At 38.3% G+C, this 17,898-nt stretch overlaps 1 protein-coding gene and 1 long non-coding RNA gene across 6 annotated transcripts in view, besides 1 other annotated feature; one reads left to right on the top strand and one right to left on the bottom strand.

Annotated features, from left to right (window-relative positions):
- Positions 1 to 7,434, top strand: part of C8orf89 (chromosome 8 open reading frame 89) — a 44,602-nt gene extending 37,168 nt beyond the window's left edge. For all 5 annotated transcript variants that reach the window (XM_047421206.1, NM_001391993.1, NM_001391995.1 and 2 more), the window contains one exon: positions 7,160 to 7,434. In XM_047421206.1, the coding sequence (XP_047277162.1) occupies positions 7,160 to 7,175 (16 nt within the window). In that variant the 3' untranslated portion in view covers positions 7,176 to 7,434. The remainder of the gene's footprint in view (positions 1 to 7,159) is intronic.
- Positions 1 to 17,898, bottom strand: part of LOC105375901 (uncharacterized) — a 37,845-nt gene that overhangs the window by 13,491 nt on the left and 6,456 nt on the right. The window contains exon 3 of the long non-coding RNA XR_929046.3: positions 14,131 to 16,645. This is a non-coding gene — a long non-coding RNA (uncharacterized LOC105375901). The remainder of the gene's footprint in view (positions 1 to 14,130; positions 16,646 to 17,898) is intronic.
- Positions 7,960 to 8,559: an enhancer, noted in NCBI's record as "NANOG-H3K27ac-H3K4me1 hESC enhancer chr8:74152441-74153040 (GRCh37/hg19 assembly coordinates)". NCBI's record gives its function as "activates a minimal SCP1, AML or CMV promoter by ChIP-STARR-seq in naive H9 embryonic stem cells {active_cell/tissue: H9 hESC(naive)}" and the evidence as "EXISTENCE:reporter gene assay evidence [ECO:0000049][PMID:30033119]".

The following is a 17,898-nucleotide window of genomic DNA, read 5'->3' as shown; positions in this document are numbered from 1 at the left end:
ATTCCTATACACCAACAACAGTCAAGCCAAGAGCCAAATCAGGAACACAATCCCATTTACAATTGGCACAAAAAGAATAATATACCTAGGAATACAGCTAACCAGGGAGGTGAAAGATCTCTGCAAGGAGAACTACAAAACACTGCTCAAATAAATCAGAGATGACACAAACAAGTAGAAAAACATTCCATGTTCATGGATAGGAAGACTCAATATAGTTAAAATAACTATACTACCCAAAGCAATTTATAGATTCAATGTGATTCCTATTAAACTACCAATGACATTCTTCATAGAACTAGAAAAAACTATTTTAAAATTCATATGGAACCAAAAAAGAGCCAAAATAGCCAAGGCAATCCTAAGCAAAAAGAACAAAGCTGGAGGTATCACACAACCTGACTTCAAACCGTGGTACAGGGCTATGGTAACCAAAACAGCATGGTACTGGTACAAAAACAGACACATAGATCAATGGAACACAATAGAGAGATCAGAAATAAGGCCACACACCTACAACTATCTGATTTTCAACAAAGCTGACAAAAACAAGCAATGGGGAAAGTTCTCCCTATTCAATAAATGATGCTGGGCTAACTGGCTAGCCATATGCAGAAGATTAAAACTGGACCCCTTTCTTACACCATATACAAAAATCAACTCAAGATAGATTAAAGACTTAAATGTAAAACCCAAAACTATAAAAACATTGGAAGACAACCTAGGCAATACCATTCTAGACATAGGAACAGGCAAAGATTTCATGATGAAGATGCCAAAAGCAATGCCGCAAAAGCAAAAATTGACAAATGGGATCTAATTAAACGAAAGTGCTTCTGCATAGCAAAATAAACTATCAACAGAGTAAACAGACAACCTACAGAATGGAAGAAAAATTTTGCAAACTCTGCATCTGACAAAGGTCTAATATCCAGCATCTATAAGGAATTTAAACAATTTACAAGAAAAAAATAACCTCATTAAAAAGTGGACAAAGGACATGAACAGACACTTTTCAAAAGAAGACATACATGCAGCCAAACAAGCATATGAAAAAAAAGCTCAACATCACTTATCATTAGAGAAATGCAAATCAAAACCTCAATGAGATACCATCTCACATGAGTCAGAATGGCTACTATCAAAAAGTAAAAAAATAACAGATGCTGGAGAGGTTACAAAGAAAAAGGAACACTTATACACTATTGGTGGGAATGTAAATTAGTTCAATCATTGTAGGAAACAGTGTGGTGATTCCTCAAAGACCTAAAAACAGAAATGCCATTTGACCCAGAAATCCCATTACTGGGTATGTACCCAAAGGACTATAAATCCTTCTGTAATAAAGACACATCCATGCATATGTTCACTGCAGCACTATTCACAATAGCAAAGACATGGACTCAACCTAAATGCCCATCAATGGTAGACTGGATAAGGAAAATGTGGTACACATATACCATGGAATACTATGCAGCCATAAAAAAGAACAGATCATGTCCTTTGCAGGAACATGGATGGAGCTGGAGGCCATTATCCTTAGCAAACTAATGCAGGAGGGTGTGGAGGGTGGGAGGTGGGAAAGGATCAGGAAAAATAACTAATGGGTACTAGGCTTAGTACTCAGGTGAAGAAATAATCTATACAACAAATCCCTGTGACACAAGTTTACCTATGTAACAAACCTACACATGTACCCCTGAACTTAAAATAAAAGTTAAAAAGAAAGTTAAAGATTTTTAAAACCTTATTTTAAATTTTTATCATAATCATACTTGTCTTCCTCTAATACACTCATACTTACATGACTTTGGCTTATGGAATAATGGAGTTAACTGAACACCTCCAAACAACCAACCAAAACTAAAATTACTAAGTAATGCTTCTATTGACATTATTGGTAGCTGTCAGAATTGACTTGTTAGCAGCTCTGCAAGCTCAGTCTATGGAAGTTTATAAGTTTAAATGTTCATGAACTTTTCCTTGGATGTTTTCTCTCTCTTAATTTCATATACTAAAACAATTTCTGTAATCAACAGACAGTGTAAAATAAAAATATAAATGTTAATTAGAACAAAAGACATTGCTGGCTGGGTGCGGTGGCTCACGCCTGTAATCCTAACGCTTTGGGAGGCCGAGGTGAGCAGATCATGAGGTCAGGAGTTTGAGACCAGCCTGGCCAACATGATGAGACTCCGTCTCTACTAAAAATACAAAAATTAGCCGGGAATTGTGGTGTGCGCCTGTAATCTCAGCTACTCAGGGAGCTGAGGCAGGAGAATTGCTTGAACCTGGGAGGCGGAGGTTGCAGTGAGCCAAGATTGTGCCACTGCACTCTAGCCTGGGCGACAGAGCGAGACTCTGTCTCAAACAAGCAAACAAACAAACAAACAAAAAACCCAAAAGACATTGCTTTGAATCTCGGCCCAAATGAACATTTGCCAGCCTCTTTTCTAACATTATGACTTCTGTGTCTTATTCACTCACCTTCATATCCCTACAGTGCCTACACTAGTTTCTGCAACAAAGTAAGTCTTCTGTAAATACTTATTATTACTTATTTTGATGTGAAGAATAACATTTACAGATTTTGTAATGTTAAGTCACTCTTGCATTCCTGAAATACACCCAATTTAGAAATGATTTATTATTTGTTTATATTCTGCCACATTTAATTTGCTAATATCTCATTTGGCATTTTTTACCTATGCTGGTAAGTGTAGTGAGATTGCCATGAATTTTCTTTTTTGTTCTGTCCTTGTCTGGATTCAGTGTCCACATTATAATGGCCTTGTGGAATGAATTGGGGACTATTCTTTCTCTTTCTGTTCTCTGAAGGATACGACCTAAAATTGGAATGATTTTTCTCTCGAAAGTTTGAGGAAATTCATTTATAAAATTCATTTGGGTTACTTGTTTTCTTTGGGAGAATCTTTTAATATTGGCTCAATCATTTTGAATTTAGGGCTCTTAAGGTATTCTAATTTTTCAATCAGTTTTGGTAAGTTATATTTTCTAGAAACTTGCATTTTGTCTAAGTTTTAAAAATTTATTAGCATAAAGTTTAGTCTTTGCTTTATCTGTAATTCTGTTCCTCTTTTCCCAATATTATATATTTGTGCCTTCTTTTATTTTCTTGAGTAATGTCACCAGAGGCTTTCCTTTTTTATTAGTTTTTTCAATGAAGAGCTTTTGTCTTTTTAAAAAATCCCTTTTATTGTAACTTGGTTTTCTACTTCATTGATTTCTCCCCTTTCCTATATTATCTTTTTCCTCCATGTTCTTTGGGTTTACTCTTTTCCTACTGTGTATCTAATACCTATGTTTTAAATTTTCAACCTTCTTTTCTAACATAGACATTTTAGGGTATAAACCTCTCTATATACAACTTTTGCTCCATTACACAACTTTTGTGATATTTATCATTTAGCAACAAATATTTGTATGTTTATTATGATTTGTTTTTTGACTGATAATTTAGAAAATGTGTTTATATGGTTTGACTGTGTCCCCATTGAAATCTCATCTTGAATTGTAGTTCCCATAGTTCCCATGTGTTGTGGGATGGACTCAGTGGGAGATGATTGAATCATGGGGGCGGTTGCCCCATACCATTCTCATGGTAGTGAGTAAGTCTCACGAGATCTGATGGTTTTATAAGAGGAAACCCCTTTTGCTTGGTTCTCATTCTCTCTTATCTGCCTCCATGTAAGACATGGCTTTTGCCTTCTGGTGTGATTGTGAGGCCTCCCCAGCCATGTGGAACTGTGAGTCCATTAAACCTCTTTTTCTTTAAAAATTACCCAGTTTCAGTTATGTCCTTATCAGCAGCATAAAAATGGACTAATACATGTGTACAAATTTCTAAATATTTCAGAATTTTAAATTTATCTTATTATTAACAACTTCCAACTTAATTGCATTTGTGTGTATGATACCGATTCTTTGAAGTTTTTTCAGGTTTGCCTAATGCCTGGAATCTAGTTATTTTGCTGCCAGAGGGTCTTTTAAAGTGTCAAGTCCATTGTACTGCTAAGAACAGAAGTCCTGATCATATTCTTAACTCTCACCTGTTTCTCTCTGAACTTCTCACTCATATTACCCCTGCAAACAAAACAAAACAAACAGAAAAATAACAACTACACTGGAGAATTGAAGATAGTGCTTTTTTTTGACACTTGAAACTGAAGTTAAATAATAATATTTTAAAGCAATATAGGTCAGTATTTTCAAGGCTGCATATATGTTTTTAAATAGAAATATTTCTACATATTTGTATATTGTATATAGAGAGGTTTATACCCTAAAATATTTCTACATGTATTTAGGGGTAATACGTAGTGATTGGAACTTTGATGAATCTGGATTCAAATCCTAACTCTGATAGTTACTAAGTATATGCACTCAGGCAAGTTATTTAGCATCCCTAAATTGTCTTTTTAAAATCTGTAACTCGAGATAGTACAGATGACTATTTCATAGTGTTGTTGTATGGATAAAATAGATGTAAAGTACTTGACAAAGATCATTCAACAAATGCTATCTGTTGTTATTACTACCACCCTATGATAGAAGTTTGATTAACGCTATTTCAGTTAAGTGAACGATTTTATTTTACTTTACAATTTTACTTCACTTAGCATTTATGAGAAATGTTTTTATTTGAAGAAAATAACTTGATAGGCATGTAAAATATGAAATGAGTTAATTATTTATGGAGATTATGCCTTTTACTTTGAAATAAATCTCACAGTTGTCCCATGTTTTAAAAAGTATTGTACAAAATCAGATTAAGTTGGTGCAAAAGTAATTGCGGTTTTTAGAACTGCAATTACTTTTGCACCAATGTAATTTTATATAATTAAATACAAGCATTAAAGGTTTTTTAGATAAATATTTTTTGAGGCACATAGTCATTTTATAAAGTAGCATTAAAACTGAGTGCGGTGGCTCATGCCTGTAATCCCAGCACTTTGGGAGGCTGAGGTGGGCAGGTGACTTGAAGCCAGGAGTTTGAGATCTGCCTGGACAACATGGTGAAACCCCGTCTCTACTAAAAATACAAAAACTAGCTGGGCATGATGGCACACGCCTGTAGTCCCAGCTACTCAGGAGGCTGAGGCATGTGAATCACTTGAACCCGGGAAGTGGAGGTTGCAGTGAGCCGAGATTGCACCACTGCACTCCAGCCTGGGTGACAGAGCAAGATTCCATCCTCCATCTCAAAAAAAAGAAAAGAAAAAGAAAGTAAACATGGCATTTTTAATTCAAAATATGTGTTATATCAAAAACTAGTCGTGTTTTTTTAATTTTCTGGGTACATAGTAGGTGTATTTATTTATGAGGTATATGAGATATTTTGATACAGGCGTACAACGTGTAATAATCACATTCACGTGAATGGAGTATCCATCCCCTCAGGCATTTATCCTTTATGTTACAAACAATCAAATTATACTCTTAAAGTTATTTTTAAATATACGATTAGATCATTATTGACTATAATTGCCCTGTTGTGCTATCAAATACGTGTTCTTATTCATTCTTTGTATTTTTTGTACCTATAAACCATCCCCACTTCCCCCGCATCTCTCCTCCACTATCCTTCCCAGCCTCTGGTAACCATCCTTCTAGTCTCTATCTCCATGAGTTCAATTGTTCTAGTTTTTAGCACCCACAAATAACTGAGAATATGTGAAATTTGTCTTTCTGTACCTGGCTTATTTAACCTAACATAATGATCTCCAGTTCCAACCATAATGTTGCAAATGACAGGATCTCATTTTTTTATGGCTGAATAGTACTCCATTGTGTATATGTACCACATTTTCTTCATCCATTCATCTGTTGATGGACACTTCAGTTACTTCCAAATCTTGGCCATTGTGAACAGTGCTGCAGTAAACACAGGAGTGCAGATACCTCTTTGATATACCGATTTCCCTTCTTTTGGGTATATGTCTAGCAATGGGATTCCTGGACCATATGGTAGCTCCATTTTTGGTTTTCTGAGAAACCTCCAAACTGTTCTCCACAGTGGTTGTACTAATTTACATTCCCACTAACAGTGAATGAGGGTTCCCTTTTTTCTCTGCATCCTTGCCAGCATGTGTTATTTACTGTCTTTTAGATAAAAGCCATTTTAATTGGGGTGAAATGATATCTCATTGTAGTTTTGATGCCTCTGATAATCAGTGATGTTGACCATATTTCATATGCCTGTTTGCTGTTTGCGTGTCTTCTTTTCAGAAATGTCTATTCAGGTCTTTTGGCCCATTTAACTAATTAATTAATTAATTTTTATTAACATGAGAGTTTAAATGAGACAGGGTTTTGCTATGTTGCCCAGGCTGGTCTTGAACTTCTGAGCTCAAGGGATCTGCTCACCTCAGCCTCCCAAAGTGCTGGGATTATAGACGTGAGCCACCCCTTTTGCCCATTTTAAAATGGGATTATTAGACTTTTCCCATAGAGTTGTTTAAGCTCCTTATATATTCTGGTTGTTAATCCCTTGTCAGATGGGTAGTCTGCAAATATTTTCTCCCATTCTGTAGGTTCTTTTCATTTTGTTGATTGTTTCCTTTGCTGTGCAGACACTTTTTATTAATAACTTGATGTGATCTCATTTGTCCATTTTTGCTTTGATTGCCTGTGCTTCTGGGGTATTACTCAGGAAATCTTTGACCACTCCCATGTCCTGGAGAGTTTCCCCAATGCTTTCTTTTAGTATTCATAGTTTGAGGTCTTAGATTTAAGTCTTTAATCCATTTCGATTTTTTTTTATATGTCGAGAGATGCGATCTGGTTTCATTTTTCTGCATAATCTCCAGTTTTATAATATCCATAATACCCAGTTTTCCCAGCACCATTTATTGATGAGACTATCTTTTCCCTAGTGTATATTCTTGGCACTTTTGTTAAAAATGAATCCACTATAGATGTATAGATTTGTTTCTGGGTTGTTTATTCTGTTCTATTGGTTTGTGTGTCTGTTTTTATGCATGCTTTTTTTTGGGTTAGTATAGCTCTGTAGTATAAGAACTAGTAGTGTGTAATAGTCATTTGTGGAAGAAATATTTCAGTCACATTATATTTAATAGAATATTATTCATGTGTGCTTAATTCATTTTAATAGCTGACTCCCCACCTCCTCCTCCAGGTTCTGGCTTCAGTGATCCTCTCACTGGAGCACCATCTCAATACTTAGAGAGACTTTCCAAAATAGCCATATTGGAATATGATACCATTCGTCAGGAAACAACCACAAAATCAAAAAAAAGCAAGAAACGAGACCTCCGAGACCGCTGAAAAATGTCGTACAGTGTGATGCTTTCTTCAGTGACTTTTAAGCTTTATATTTTCTTTTTTTATATGATATGATGCAAAATGATTTATATAAAAATGGAAATGTAAATAAATAAATATTTTACATTATAGATGAGTCATTTGTATTTTGTTAACATTACAGAGATAAATTATATTTTTTCCTTATTTATGTTGAAGGACTATAAATTATGGTTTATGGGAAAATAAGCATAAGATAAATTTTATTCCATGAATTTTATGTACATTGATTGTGTGTTTTGATTCAATTTGATACTCTTGAGTGTCTATTTTGTGCAATGACCTTGGCTAGCTGCTGGGGAAGATTGAAGAAAAAGAGAGGTCTTGAGGGCAGTGCAAGATGGCCGAATAGGAACAGCTCTGGTCTGCAGCTCCCAGCGTGATTGACACAGAAGACAGGTGATTTCTGCATTTCCAACTGAGGTACCTGGTTCATTTCATTGGGACTGGTTGAACAGTGGGTGCAGCCCATGGAGGATGAACTGAAGCAGGGCAGGGCGTCGCCTCACCCGGGAAGTGCAAGGGGTCAGGGGATTTCCCTTTCCTAGCCAAGGGAAGCTGTGACAGACTGTACCTGGAAAAATGGGACACTCCTGCCCAAATACTGTGCTTTTCCCAAGGTCTTAGCAACTGGCAGACAAGGAGATTCTCTCCTGTGCCTGGCTTGGCAGGTCCCATGCCCATGGGGCCTTGCTCACTGCTAGCGAAGCAGTCTAAGATCTAACTGCGAGGTGGCAGTCTGGCTGGGGGAGGGGCGTCTGCCATTGCTGAGGCTCGAGTAGGTAAACAAAGCAGCCAGGAAGCTCGAACTGGGCGGAGCCCACCGCAGCTCAGCAAGGCCTCTAGAGACTCCACCTCTGTGGGCAGGGCATAGCTGAACAAAAGGCAGCAGACAGCTTCTGCAGACTTAAACGTCCCTGTTTGACAGCTCTGAAGACAGCAGTGGTTCTCCCAGCATGGTGTTTGAGCTCTGAGAACGGGCAGACTGCCTTCTCAAGTGAGTCCCTGACTCCCGTGTAGCCTAACTGGGAGACACCTCCCAATAGGGGCCGAGAGACACCTCATATAGGTGGGTGCCCTTCTGGGACTAAGCTTCCAGAGGAAGGATCAGGCAGCAATATTTGCTGTTCTGCAACATTTGCTGTTCTGCAGCCTCCGCTGGTGAACAGGGTCTGGAGTGGACCTCCAGCAAACTCCAACAGACCTGCAGCTGTTGCAGCTGTTCTGCAGCCTCTGCTGGTGAACAGGGTCTGGAGTGGACCTCCCAGGAAAACAGGGTCTGGAGTGGACCTCCAGCAAACTCCAACAGACCTGCAGCTGAGGGACCTAACTATTGGAAGGAAAACTAACAAACAGAAAGGAATAGCACCAACATCAACAAAAAGGACATCTACACCAAAACCCCATCTGTAGGTCAACAACATCAAAGACCAAAGGTAGACAAAACCACAAAGATGGGGAGAAACCAAAGCAGAAAAGCTGAAAATTCTAAAAACCAGAGCGCCTCTTCTCCTCCAAAGGATTGCAGCTCCTTGCCAGCAATGGAACAAAGCTGGACGGAGAATGATTTTGACTAGTTGACAGAAGTAGGCTTCAGAAGGTTGGTAATAACAAACTTCTCTGAGCTAAAGGAGCATGTTCAAACCCATTGCAAGGAAGCTAAAAACCTTGAAAAAAGGTTAGATGACTGGCTACCTAGAATAAACAGTGTAGAGAAGACCTTAAATGACCTGGTGGAGCTGAAAACCATGGCATGAGAACTTCGTGGCGCATGCACAAGCTTCAATAGCTGATTCTATCAAGTGGAAGAAAGTGTATCAGTGATTGAAGATCAAATTAATGAAATAAAGCAAGAAGAGAAGTTTAGAGAAAAAAGAGTAAAAAGAAACAAACAAAACCTCCAAGAAATATGGGACTATGTGAAAAGACCAAATCTATGTTTCATTGGTGTACCTGAAACTGATGGGGAGAATGGAACCAAGTTGGAAAACACTCTTCAGGATATTATCCAGGAGAACTTTTCCAACCTAGCAAGGCAGGCCAACCTTTGAATTCAGGAAATGCAGAGAACACCACAAAGATACTCTTTAAGAAGAGCAACCCCAAGACACATAATTGTCAGATTTACCAAGGTTGAAATGAAGGAAAAAATGTTAAGGGTAGCCAGAGAGAAAGGTTGGGTTACCCACAAAGCGAAACCCATCAGACTGACCGTGGATCTCTTGGCAGAAAACTTACAAGCCGGAGGAGAGTGGGGGCCAATATTCAGCATTCTTAAAGAAAATAATTTTCAACCCAGAATTTCATATCCAGCCAAACTAAGTTTCATAAGTGAAGGAAAAAAAATCCTTTGCAGACAAGCAAATGCTGAGAGAGTCTGTCACCACCAGGCCTGCCTTACAAGAGCTCCTGAAGGAAGCACTAAACATGGAAAGAAACAACTGGTACCAGCCACTGCAAAAACATGCCAAATAGTAAAGACCATTGATGCTGTGAAGAAACTGCATCAATTAATGGGCAAAATAACCAGCTAACATCATAATGACAGGATCAAATTCACACATAACAATTTTAGCCTTAAATGTAAATGGGCTAAATGCCCCAATTAAAAGATATAGACTGACAAATTGAATAAAGAATCAAGATCCATCAGTATGCTATATTCAGGAGACCCATCTCACATGCAAAGACACACATAGGCTCAAAATAAAGGGATGGAGGAAGATCTACCAAGCAAATGGAAAGCAAAAAAAGGAGGGGTTGCAATCCTAGTCTCTGATAAAACAGACTTTAAACCAACAAAGATCGAAAGAGACAAAGAAGGCCATTACATAATGGTAAAGGGATCAATTCAACAAGAAGAGTGAACTATCCTAAATATATATGCATCCAATACAGGAGCACCCAGATTCATAAAGCAAGTCCTTGGAGACCTATAAAGAGACTTAGATTCCCATACAATAATAATGGTAGACTTTAACACCCCCCTGTGAATATTAGACAGATCGAGACAGAAGGTTAACAAGGATATCCGGGACTTGAACTCAGCTCTGCACCAAGCAGACCTAATAGACATCTACAGAACTCCATACTCCAAATCAACAGAATATACATTCTTCTCAGCACCACATCGGACTTATTCTAAAATTGACCACATAATTGGAAGCAAAGCACTCCTCAGCAAATGTAAAAGAACAGAAATCACAGCAAACTGTCTCTCGGACCACAGTGCAATCAAACTAGAACTCAGGATTAAGAAACTCACTCAAAACCACACAACTACGTGGAAACTGAACAACCTGCTCCTGAATGACTACTGGGTAAATAACGAAATGAAGGCAGAAATAAAGATGCTCTTTGAAACCAATGAGAACAAAGACAAAACGTACCAGAATCTCTGGGACACATTTAAAGCAGTGTGTAGAGGGAAATTTATAGCACTAAATGCTCAGAAGAGAAAGCAGGAAAGATCTAAAATTGACACCCTAACATCACAATTAAAAGAACTAGAGAAGCAAGAGCAAACAAATCCAAAAGCTAGAAGAAGGCAAGAAATAACAAAGATCAGAGCAGAACTGAAGGAGATAGAGACACAAAAAACCCTTCAAAAAATCAATGAATCCAGGAGCTGGTTTTTTGAAAAGATCAACAAAATTGATAGACCACTAGCCAGACTAATAAAGATGAAAAAGAGAAGAATCAAATAGAAGCAATAAAAAATGATAGACCACTGATCCCACAGAAATACAAACTACCATCAGAGAATACTATAAATACCTTTATGCAAATAAACTAGAAAATCTAGAAGAAATGGATAAATTTCTGGACACATACACTCTCCCAAGACTAAACCAGAAAGAAGTTGAGTCTCTGAATAGACCAATAACAGGCTCTGAAATTGAGGCAATAATTAATAGCCTACCAACTAAAAAAAGTCCAGGACCAGACGGATTCACAGCTGAATTCTACCAGATGTACAAAGAGAAGCTGGTACCATTCCTTCTGAAACTATTCCAATCAATAGAAAAAGAAGGTGTCCTCCCTAACTCATTTTATTAGGCCAGCATCATCCTTATAGCAAAGCCTGGCAGACACACAACAAAAAAAGAGAATTTTAGACCAATATCCCTGATGAACATCAATGAAAAAATCCTCAATGAAATACTGGCAAACCGAATCCAGCAGCACATCAAAAAGTTTATCCACCATGATCAAGTTGGCTTCATCCCTGGGATGCAAGGCTGGCTCAACATATGCAAATCAATAAATGTAACCCATCACATCAACAGAACCAATGACAAAAACCACATGATTATCTCAATAGATGCAGAAAAGGCCTTTGACAAAATTCAACACCCCTTCATGCTAAAAACTCTCAATACACTAGGTATTGATGGAACGTATCTCAAAATTATAACAGCTATTTATGATAAACCCACAGCCAATATCATACTGAATGGGCAAAAACTGGAAACATTCCCTTTGATAACCGGCACAAGACAAGGATGCCCTCTCTCACCACTCCTATTCAACATAGTGTTGGAAGTTCTGGCCAAGGCAATCAGGCAAAAGAAAGAAATAAAGCATATTCAATTAGGAAAAGAGGAAGTCAAATTGTCCCTGTTTGCAGATGACATGATTGTATATTTAGAAAACTCCATTGTCTCAGCCCAAAATCTCCTTAAGCCGATAAGCAACTTCAGCAACGTCTCAGGATACAAAATCAATGTGCAAAAATCACAAGCATTCCTATACACCAATAACAGACAAACAGAGAGCCGAATCATGAGTGAACTCCCATTCACAATTGCTACAAAGAGAATAAAATACCTAGGAATCCAACTTACAAGGGATGTGAAGGACCTCTTCAAGGAGAACTACAAACCACTGCTCAACAAAATTAAAGAAGACAGAGACAAATGGAAGAACATTCCATGCTCATGGATAAGAAGAATCAATATCATGAAAATGGCCATACCCACCCAAGTTAATTTATAGATTCGATGCCATCTGCATTAAGCTACCAATGACTTTCTTCACACAATTGGAAAAAAACTACTTTAAATTTCATATGGAACCAAAAAAGAGCCCACATTGCCAAGACAATCCTAAGCAAAAAGAACAAAGCTGGAGGCATCACACTACCTGACTTCAAACTATACTACAAGGCTACAGTAACCAAAACAGCATGGAACTGGTATCAAAACAGAGATATAGACCAATGGAACAGAACAGAGGCCTCAGAAATAACACCACACATCTACAACCATCTGATCTTTGACAAACCTGACAAAAACAAGAAATGGGGAAAGGATTCCCTATTTAATAAGTGGTGCTGGGAAAACTGGATAGCCATATGTAGAAAGCTGAAACTGGATCCCTTCCTTACACCTTATACAAAAATTAATTCAAGATGGATTAAAGACTTAAATGTTAGACCTAAAACCATAAAAACCCTAAAAGAAAACCTAGGCAATACCATTCAGGACATAGGCATGGGCAAGGACTTCATGACTAAAACACCAAAAGCAATGGCAACAAAAGCCAAAATAGACAAATAGGATCTAATTAAACTAAAGAGCTTCTGCACAGCAAAAGAAACTACTATCAGAGTGAACAGGCAACCTACAGAATGGGAGAAAATTTTTGCAATCTACCCATCTGACAAAGGGCCAATATCCAGAATCTACAAAGAACTCAAACAAATTTACAGGAAAAAACAACCCCATCAAAAAGTGAGCAAAGGATATGAATAGACACTTCTCAAAAGAAGACATTTATGCAGCCAACAGACACCCGAAAAAATGCTCATCATCACTGGTCATGAGAGAAATGCAAATCAAAACCACAATGAGATACCATCTCATGCCAGTTAGAATGGCAATCATTAAAAGGTCAGGAAACAACAGATGCTAGAGAGGATGTGGAGAAATAGGAATGCTTTTACACTGTTGGTGGGAGTGTAAATTAGTTCAACCATTGTGGAAGACAGTGTGGCAATTCCTCAAGGATCTAGAACTAGAAATACCATTTGACCCAGTAATCCCATTAGGATATATACCCAAAGGATTATAAATCATGCTACTATAAAGACATGCACATGTATGTTTATTGCAGCACTATTCACAATAGCAAAGACTTGGAATCAACCCAAATGTCCATCAATGATAGACTGGATTAAGAAAATGTGGCACATATACACCATGGAATACTATGCAGCCATAAAAGAGGATGAGTTCATGACCTTTGCAGGGACATGGATGAAGCTGGAAACTATCATTCTCAGCAAACTATCACAAAGACAGAAAACCAAACACTGCATGTTCTCAGTCATAGGTGGAATTGAACAATGAGAACACTTGGACACAGGGTGGGGAACATCACACACCAGGGCCTGTCAGGGGGTGGGGGTCTGGGGGAGGGATAGCATTAGGAGAAATACCTAATGTAAATGACGAGTTGATGGATGCAACAAACCAACATGACACATGTATACCTATGTATCAAACCTGTCCCTTATGCACAAGTACCCTAGAACTTAATAATAATAAAAAGTGAGGTCTTATTGTTGAGGTCATAAAAATTTCTTTTTTCCCTGCTTGAGTTTGGAAACAGTTGCTAGATAAGTATTCAGGCAGATGACAATGAAAATTTAGCTTGGTTTGCTGATCAACGCAGGATAGGAAGCCCTGTCTTAGATGTGTAGCAATAAGGGGCTTCCCATTACTGTCCTTCAGAATCGGGCAGATGGACACGCACAGGTAGTGTGAACACCCTCAGTCTCACCTGCACATCAGCGCCTTTACTGCCAAGCATAACAAGGCCTCTTCACTGTGTAGACAGGCAGGTCCCTGAGGAGAAAGGGAGGTGGGGACAGATGCTCTTCATCTCTATGGAGAGGAGAAAGAAAGTCTAGGTCAAGAGGAAAACCCCTTTTTGAAAAAGCCTGAGGAGTGGGGAAAAGTGTACATCTCTATCTCTTCCTGAGAAACAGGGAGAAAGCAAGGATATGACTGTGATGCCAAGGAGGGTGGGCTCTGGGCCATAAGAAAGCCACAGAGTGTTACAGACGTTTACAAACGGGCAGTCACATCCAGCGGGGTGCTCACAGAAAGCTTCAAGGAAGATATGGTGTTAGAAATGGGCCGTAAAGACAGGAAAGAAGGAAGGAGAGGGCATTTTCAGAAAGAGGGGGAAACAGAAGTAAAGACACTATGCATTTGGGAATGTCGCACTTGGCTGAGCACTAGGTATTCTAGAGCAAGTGTCATAAATCCACGTGCATGAAGGCACCAAGCCAGCACCAGATTGAGTGACACCAGTCAGGTGAAGGCTGTAGTGAACTGGGGCCTGTTTCTCCCTTTCAAAGGGCTCTGGCTGCCTAGCCTCAGCCCTTTGTGCCATGCAGGTTCAAAGCTGCCAGACATCCCAACTTTTCATGTTGGGATCCAGAAGCCAGAATCTGGATTTCTACATGAGAAAACCTTCCAATGTATAAATGTTAACAACTAATTTGAAATAAGCAGCTAATTCAAAATTTATAAAGCCATTGTGTTTCCCAAAGAAAATTATATCTGCAAGCTAGATCTGGCTTTTTGGGGCCATTCATGCACAACCTCAGGGACAAAGGAATAGAGGGCAATAGGTCCCAAAAGATAACTTGATCATCTGTGGTAGAGAGCCTCAGATGCCAAGCATGAGTTTATATTTAATGTTTCCCAGTGGGAGATTTTGAGAATGCAAGTAAGTTATTGCTTCGGTGATTAAGGATGAAGGTTCATCTAAGTATCATTTGTAGGCTAGACGGTAACAGGGGGACACTGAAGGTTGGGAAACCATTGGGAAGCAGGAATGGGAAGGAGGGACTGGATAATTAGGATATCAAGGGAGAGGACTTAAGATCAATTGTTTAGCTATAGAATATCAAGAAAGGAAGAATCAAAACTAGCTCAGGTTTCCAATCTTAGAGATAAGCATATCAGAAGGATATGCTAATTTGCAGGGGAATAAGATCATAAATGCAACTTCAGACATATTCGGTTTAAGGTGCCGTCAGGATGTCCACATAGAGATGCCAAGCAGGTATTTGAAAAGCAGCTCTGTAGTTATGGAAAAAAGACACTGACTAGAGTTGGAACTCTGAGAAACATTTGCACAGCAAAGACTGAGTTTTCCATGATAAAAATGTACAGAGAGAAAGAGTCCAAGTTCATGAGGGATGAGAGGAAATAGGAAGAAGACAGAAGACACAGAAGACAGAAGAGGAAGAAAGGAGGAGAAGAAGGAGGGGGAGTGGGAAGAAGAAGGAGGAAGGAGAAGGAGAAGCAGCAGCAGCTATCACAGATACAGGAGAATGAGCATATTCTATGTCCTTGCATGCTTTATATTAATTCATACATAATGCTATTAATACATATGTGTTTGTAAGCATTATGATACATTAGATCCTAGGAGAATAATTAACTACACTTAAATGGACATGTTTCTGCTTATGTCTGAATTTTGGTTAAGAATGATTTAGATTTATGTTTCTATTTTCTGATCACCTCTTCCAAGTATGGTCAATGATTAAAGAAATCGGAAGCAGGAGAAAATTTTCAAAGAAAATTTTAACTATTTTTTGGATGAACACTCCTAAACACCTTTGATTATCAGATGGATTTAATATTGAACTCCTACTATGTACTCTGAACATTTAATATTATTTATAAATCTTATGAAAACTCTAAAAAATAAGTAGGTGATATTATTTCTGCTTCATAAATAAGATAAATTTGGAGTCTCTGTTTTACACTAGGTCTCTAGCAAGAAAGTGGGAGAACTAGGATTTCAATCTACTAGGATTCAAAGCGGATATAATAAACTCCATGGAACAATTATTCTTAAAACCTTAAACCTAGCTGATACATGTAATAATGGTTTAATCACTTAAACTTTAGGGCAAGATAGTACTTCTGATACTGAAAATCCAGGGGTTCAGTCTAGATCCTGCTACTCGCCACACAGAAAGCCAATCACTGAGACAAGGATTATCACGGAGGAGGAAGTCTTTTAATAGGGTGCTACAGCCAAAGAGATGGGAGTTCAGTCTCAAATCCATCTCCCTGAACTACTAAAACTAGAGGTGTATATAGCAGGGAAGAAATGTAACAATATGCAAGAAAACAGAAACTAGGAACTAGGGAGGAGCATGGAATCAATCATGATGAATTAGTGGTCCAGCCTCACTGTCTGGATGTGGTGATCTGATGAGTTTCAGTTCTTTGATACTTTCTGTTTTGAGATGCTTGAAGGTCCTTCCCTGAGGAAGGAATTCACATAAAACAAATGTAAGTTTCAAGTTTTAAGACTAGAAGGATCAATTTCCATTTTTATCCAAAATAAAATTACCTATGGGAACATTGGGTTGGTTTCATTTCCACAGACAAAAATATCTCTCATGGGGACTTGTGGTGGTGGCTCATGCCTGTAACCCCAGCATTTTGAGGCCAGGAATTTGAGACCAGCCTGGCCAACATGGAGAAACCTGTCCCTATTAAAAATACATAAAAATTACCGGGGTGTGCCGGCACATGCCTGTAATCCCAGCTACTCAGGAGGCTGAGGCACAAGAATTGCTTGAGCCTGGGAGGCGGAGGTTGCAGTGAGCTGAGATTGCGCCACTGCACTCCAGCCTGGGCGACAAAGAGAGATTGTCTTAAAAAAAAAAAAAATCAAGATTGAGCTGAGTTCCTGACATGAACACATCATGGAGCATTTACACTGGTAGAATGGAAAGCAGGGACCATATACATGAATAATTATGTCTGCTCCCTGCCCCAGTCTTCCCTAGGAAAGAGTTAACTGAAGCCAATTCAAGAAAGGAGTGGAATGTTTATTTCTTTTTAATAAACAGGATGTGCTGACATTAATAATAAATCACCTTTTTAGCCTTGGGATTGGATTTATGTTTTTCATTAATTTTTTTTTTAACCACAGGCTCTACTTCCTTACCTCACATTTACTCTTTTCGTTTCTCATGAAATTTTAAGAAAAACCAGTGTATATTTTATTCACAGAAAGCTCGAATCACCCTCAAGTAAGATAAACTCAAGATTTAGAGATAAGCATGAGATGCCAACTTCTGATATTGCAGATGCCATGGATGTTCATCCTTGGGATGGAACACAATGACTCTTCTGCATTTGTGGTTTAGAAATTCCTCCAGTGTAAGCAATATCAATCATAACCTTGGGAAACTGTACCTTATGATAAATATTTAGGATGGGAAGATGGACTCCTGATCGTAGGCTGAGAAAACAATTCTTTACAAAGAATAATTACTTTGGTGAAGGACAAATCATTAGTAGTGATAGTTTCAAAGAAATTTCCTAAGACAGCTCACTTCCTTTTCTGTAATTTTCTGCTTACCAAGCAGCCTTCTAGTGTGTAATTTAGACTCGAGTACGTATGTCCACTAAAAATCAGATGCCTTCTCTTCATGACATGTTTTAGATCTGGGAATGAGTATGTTAATTAATGAATTGCTATTCTGCTTCACAGTCTCTGTGAATT

The sequence above is a fragment of the Homo sapiens genome, chromosome 8 (genome assembly GCF_000001405.40).
Source record: "Homo sapiens chromosome 8, GRCh38.p14 Primary Assembly".
NCBI lineage: Eukaryota > Metazoa > Chordata > Mammalia > Primates > Hominidae > Homo > Homo sapiens.
This window is presented reverse-complemented; position numbering and strand designations above follow the sequence as displayed.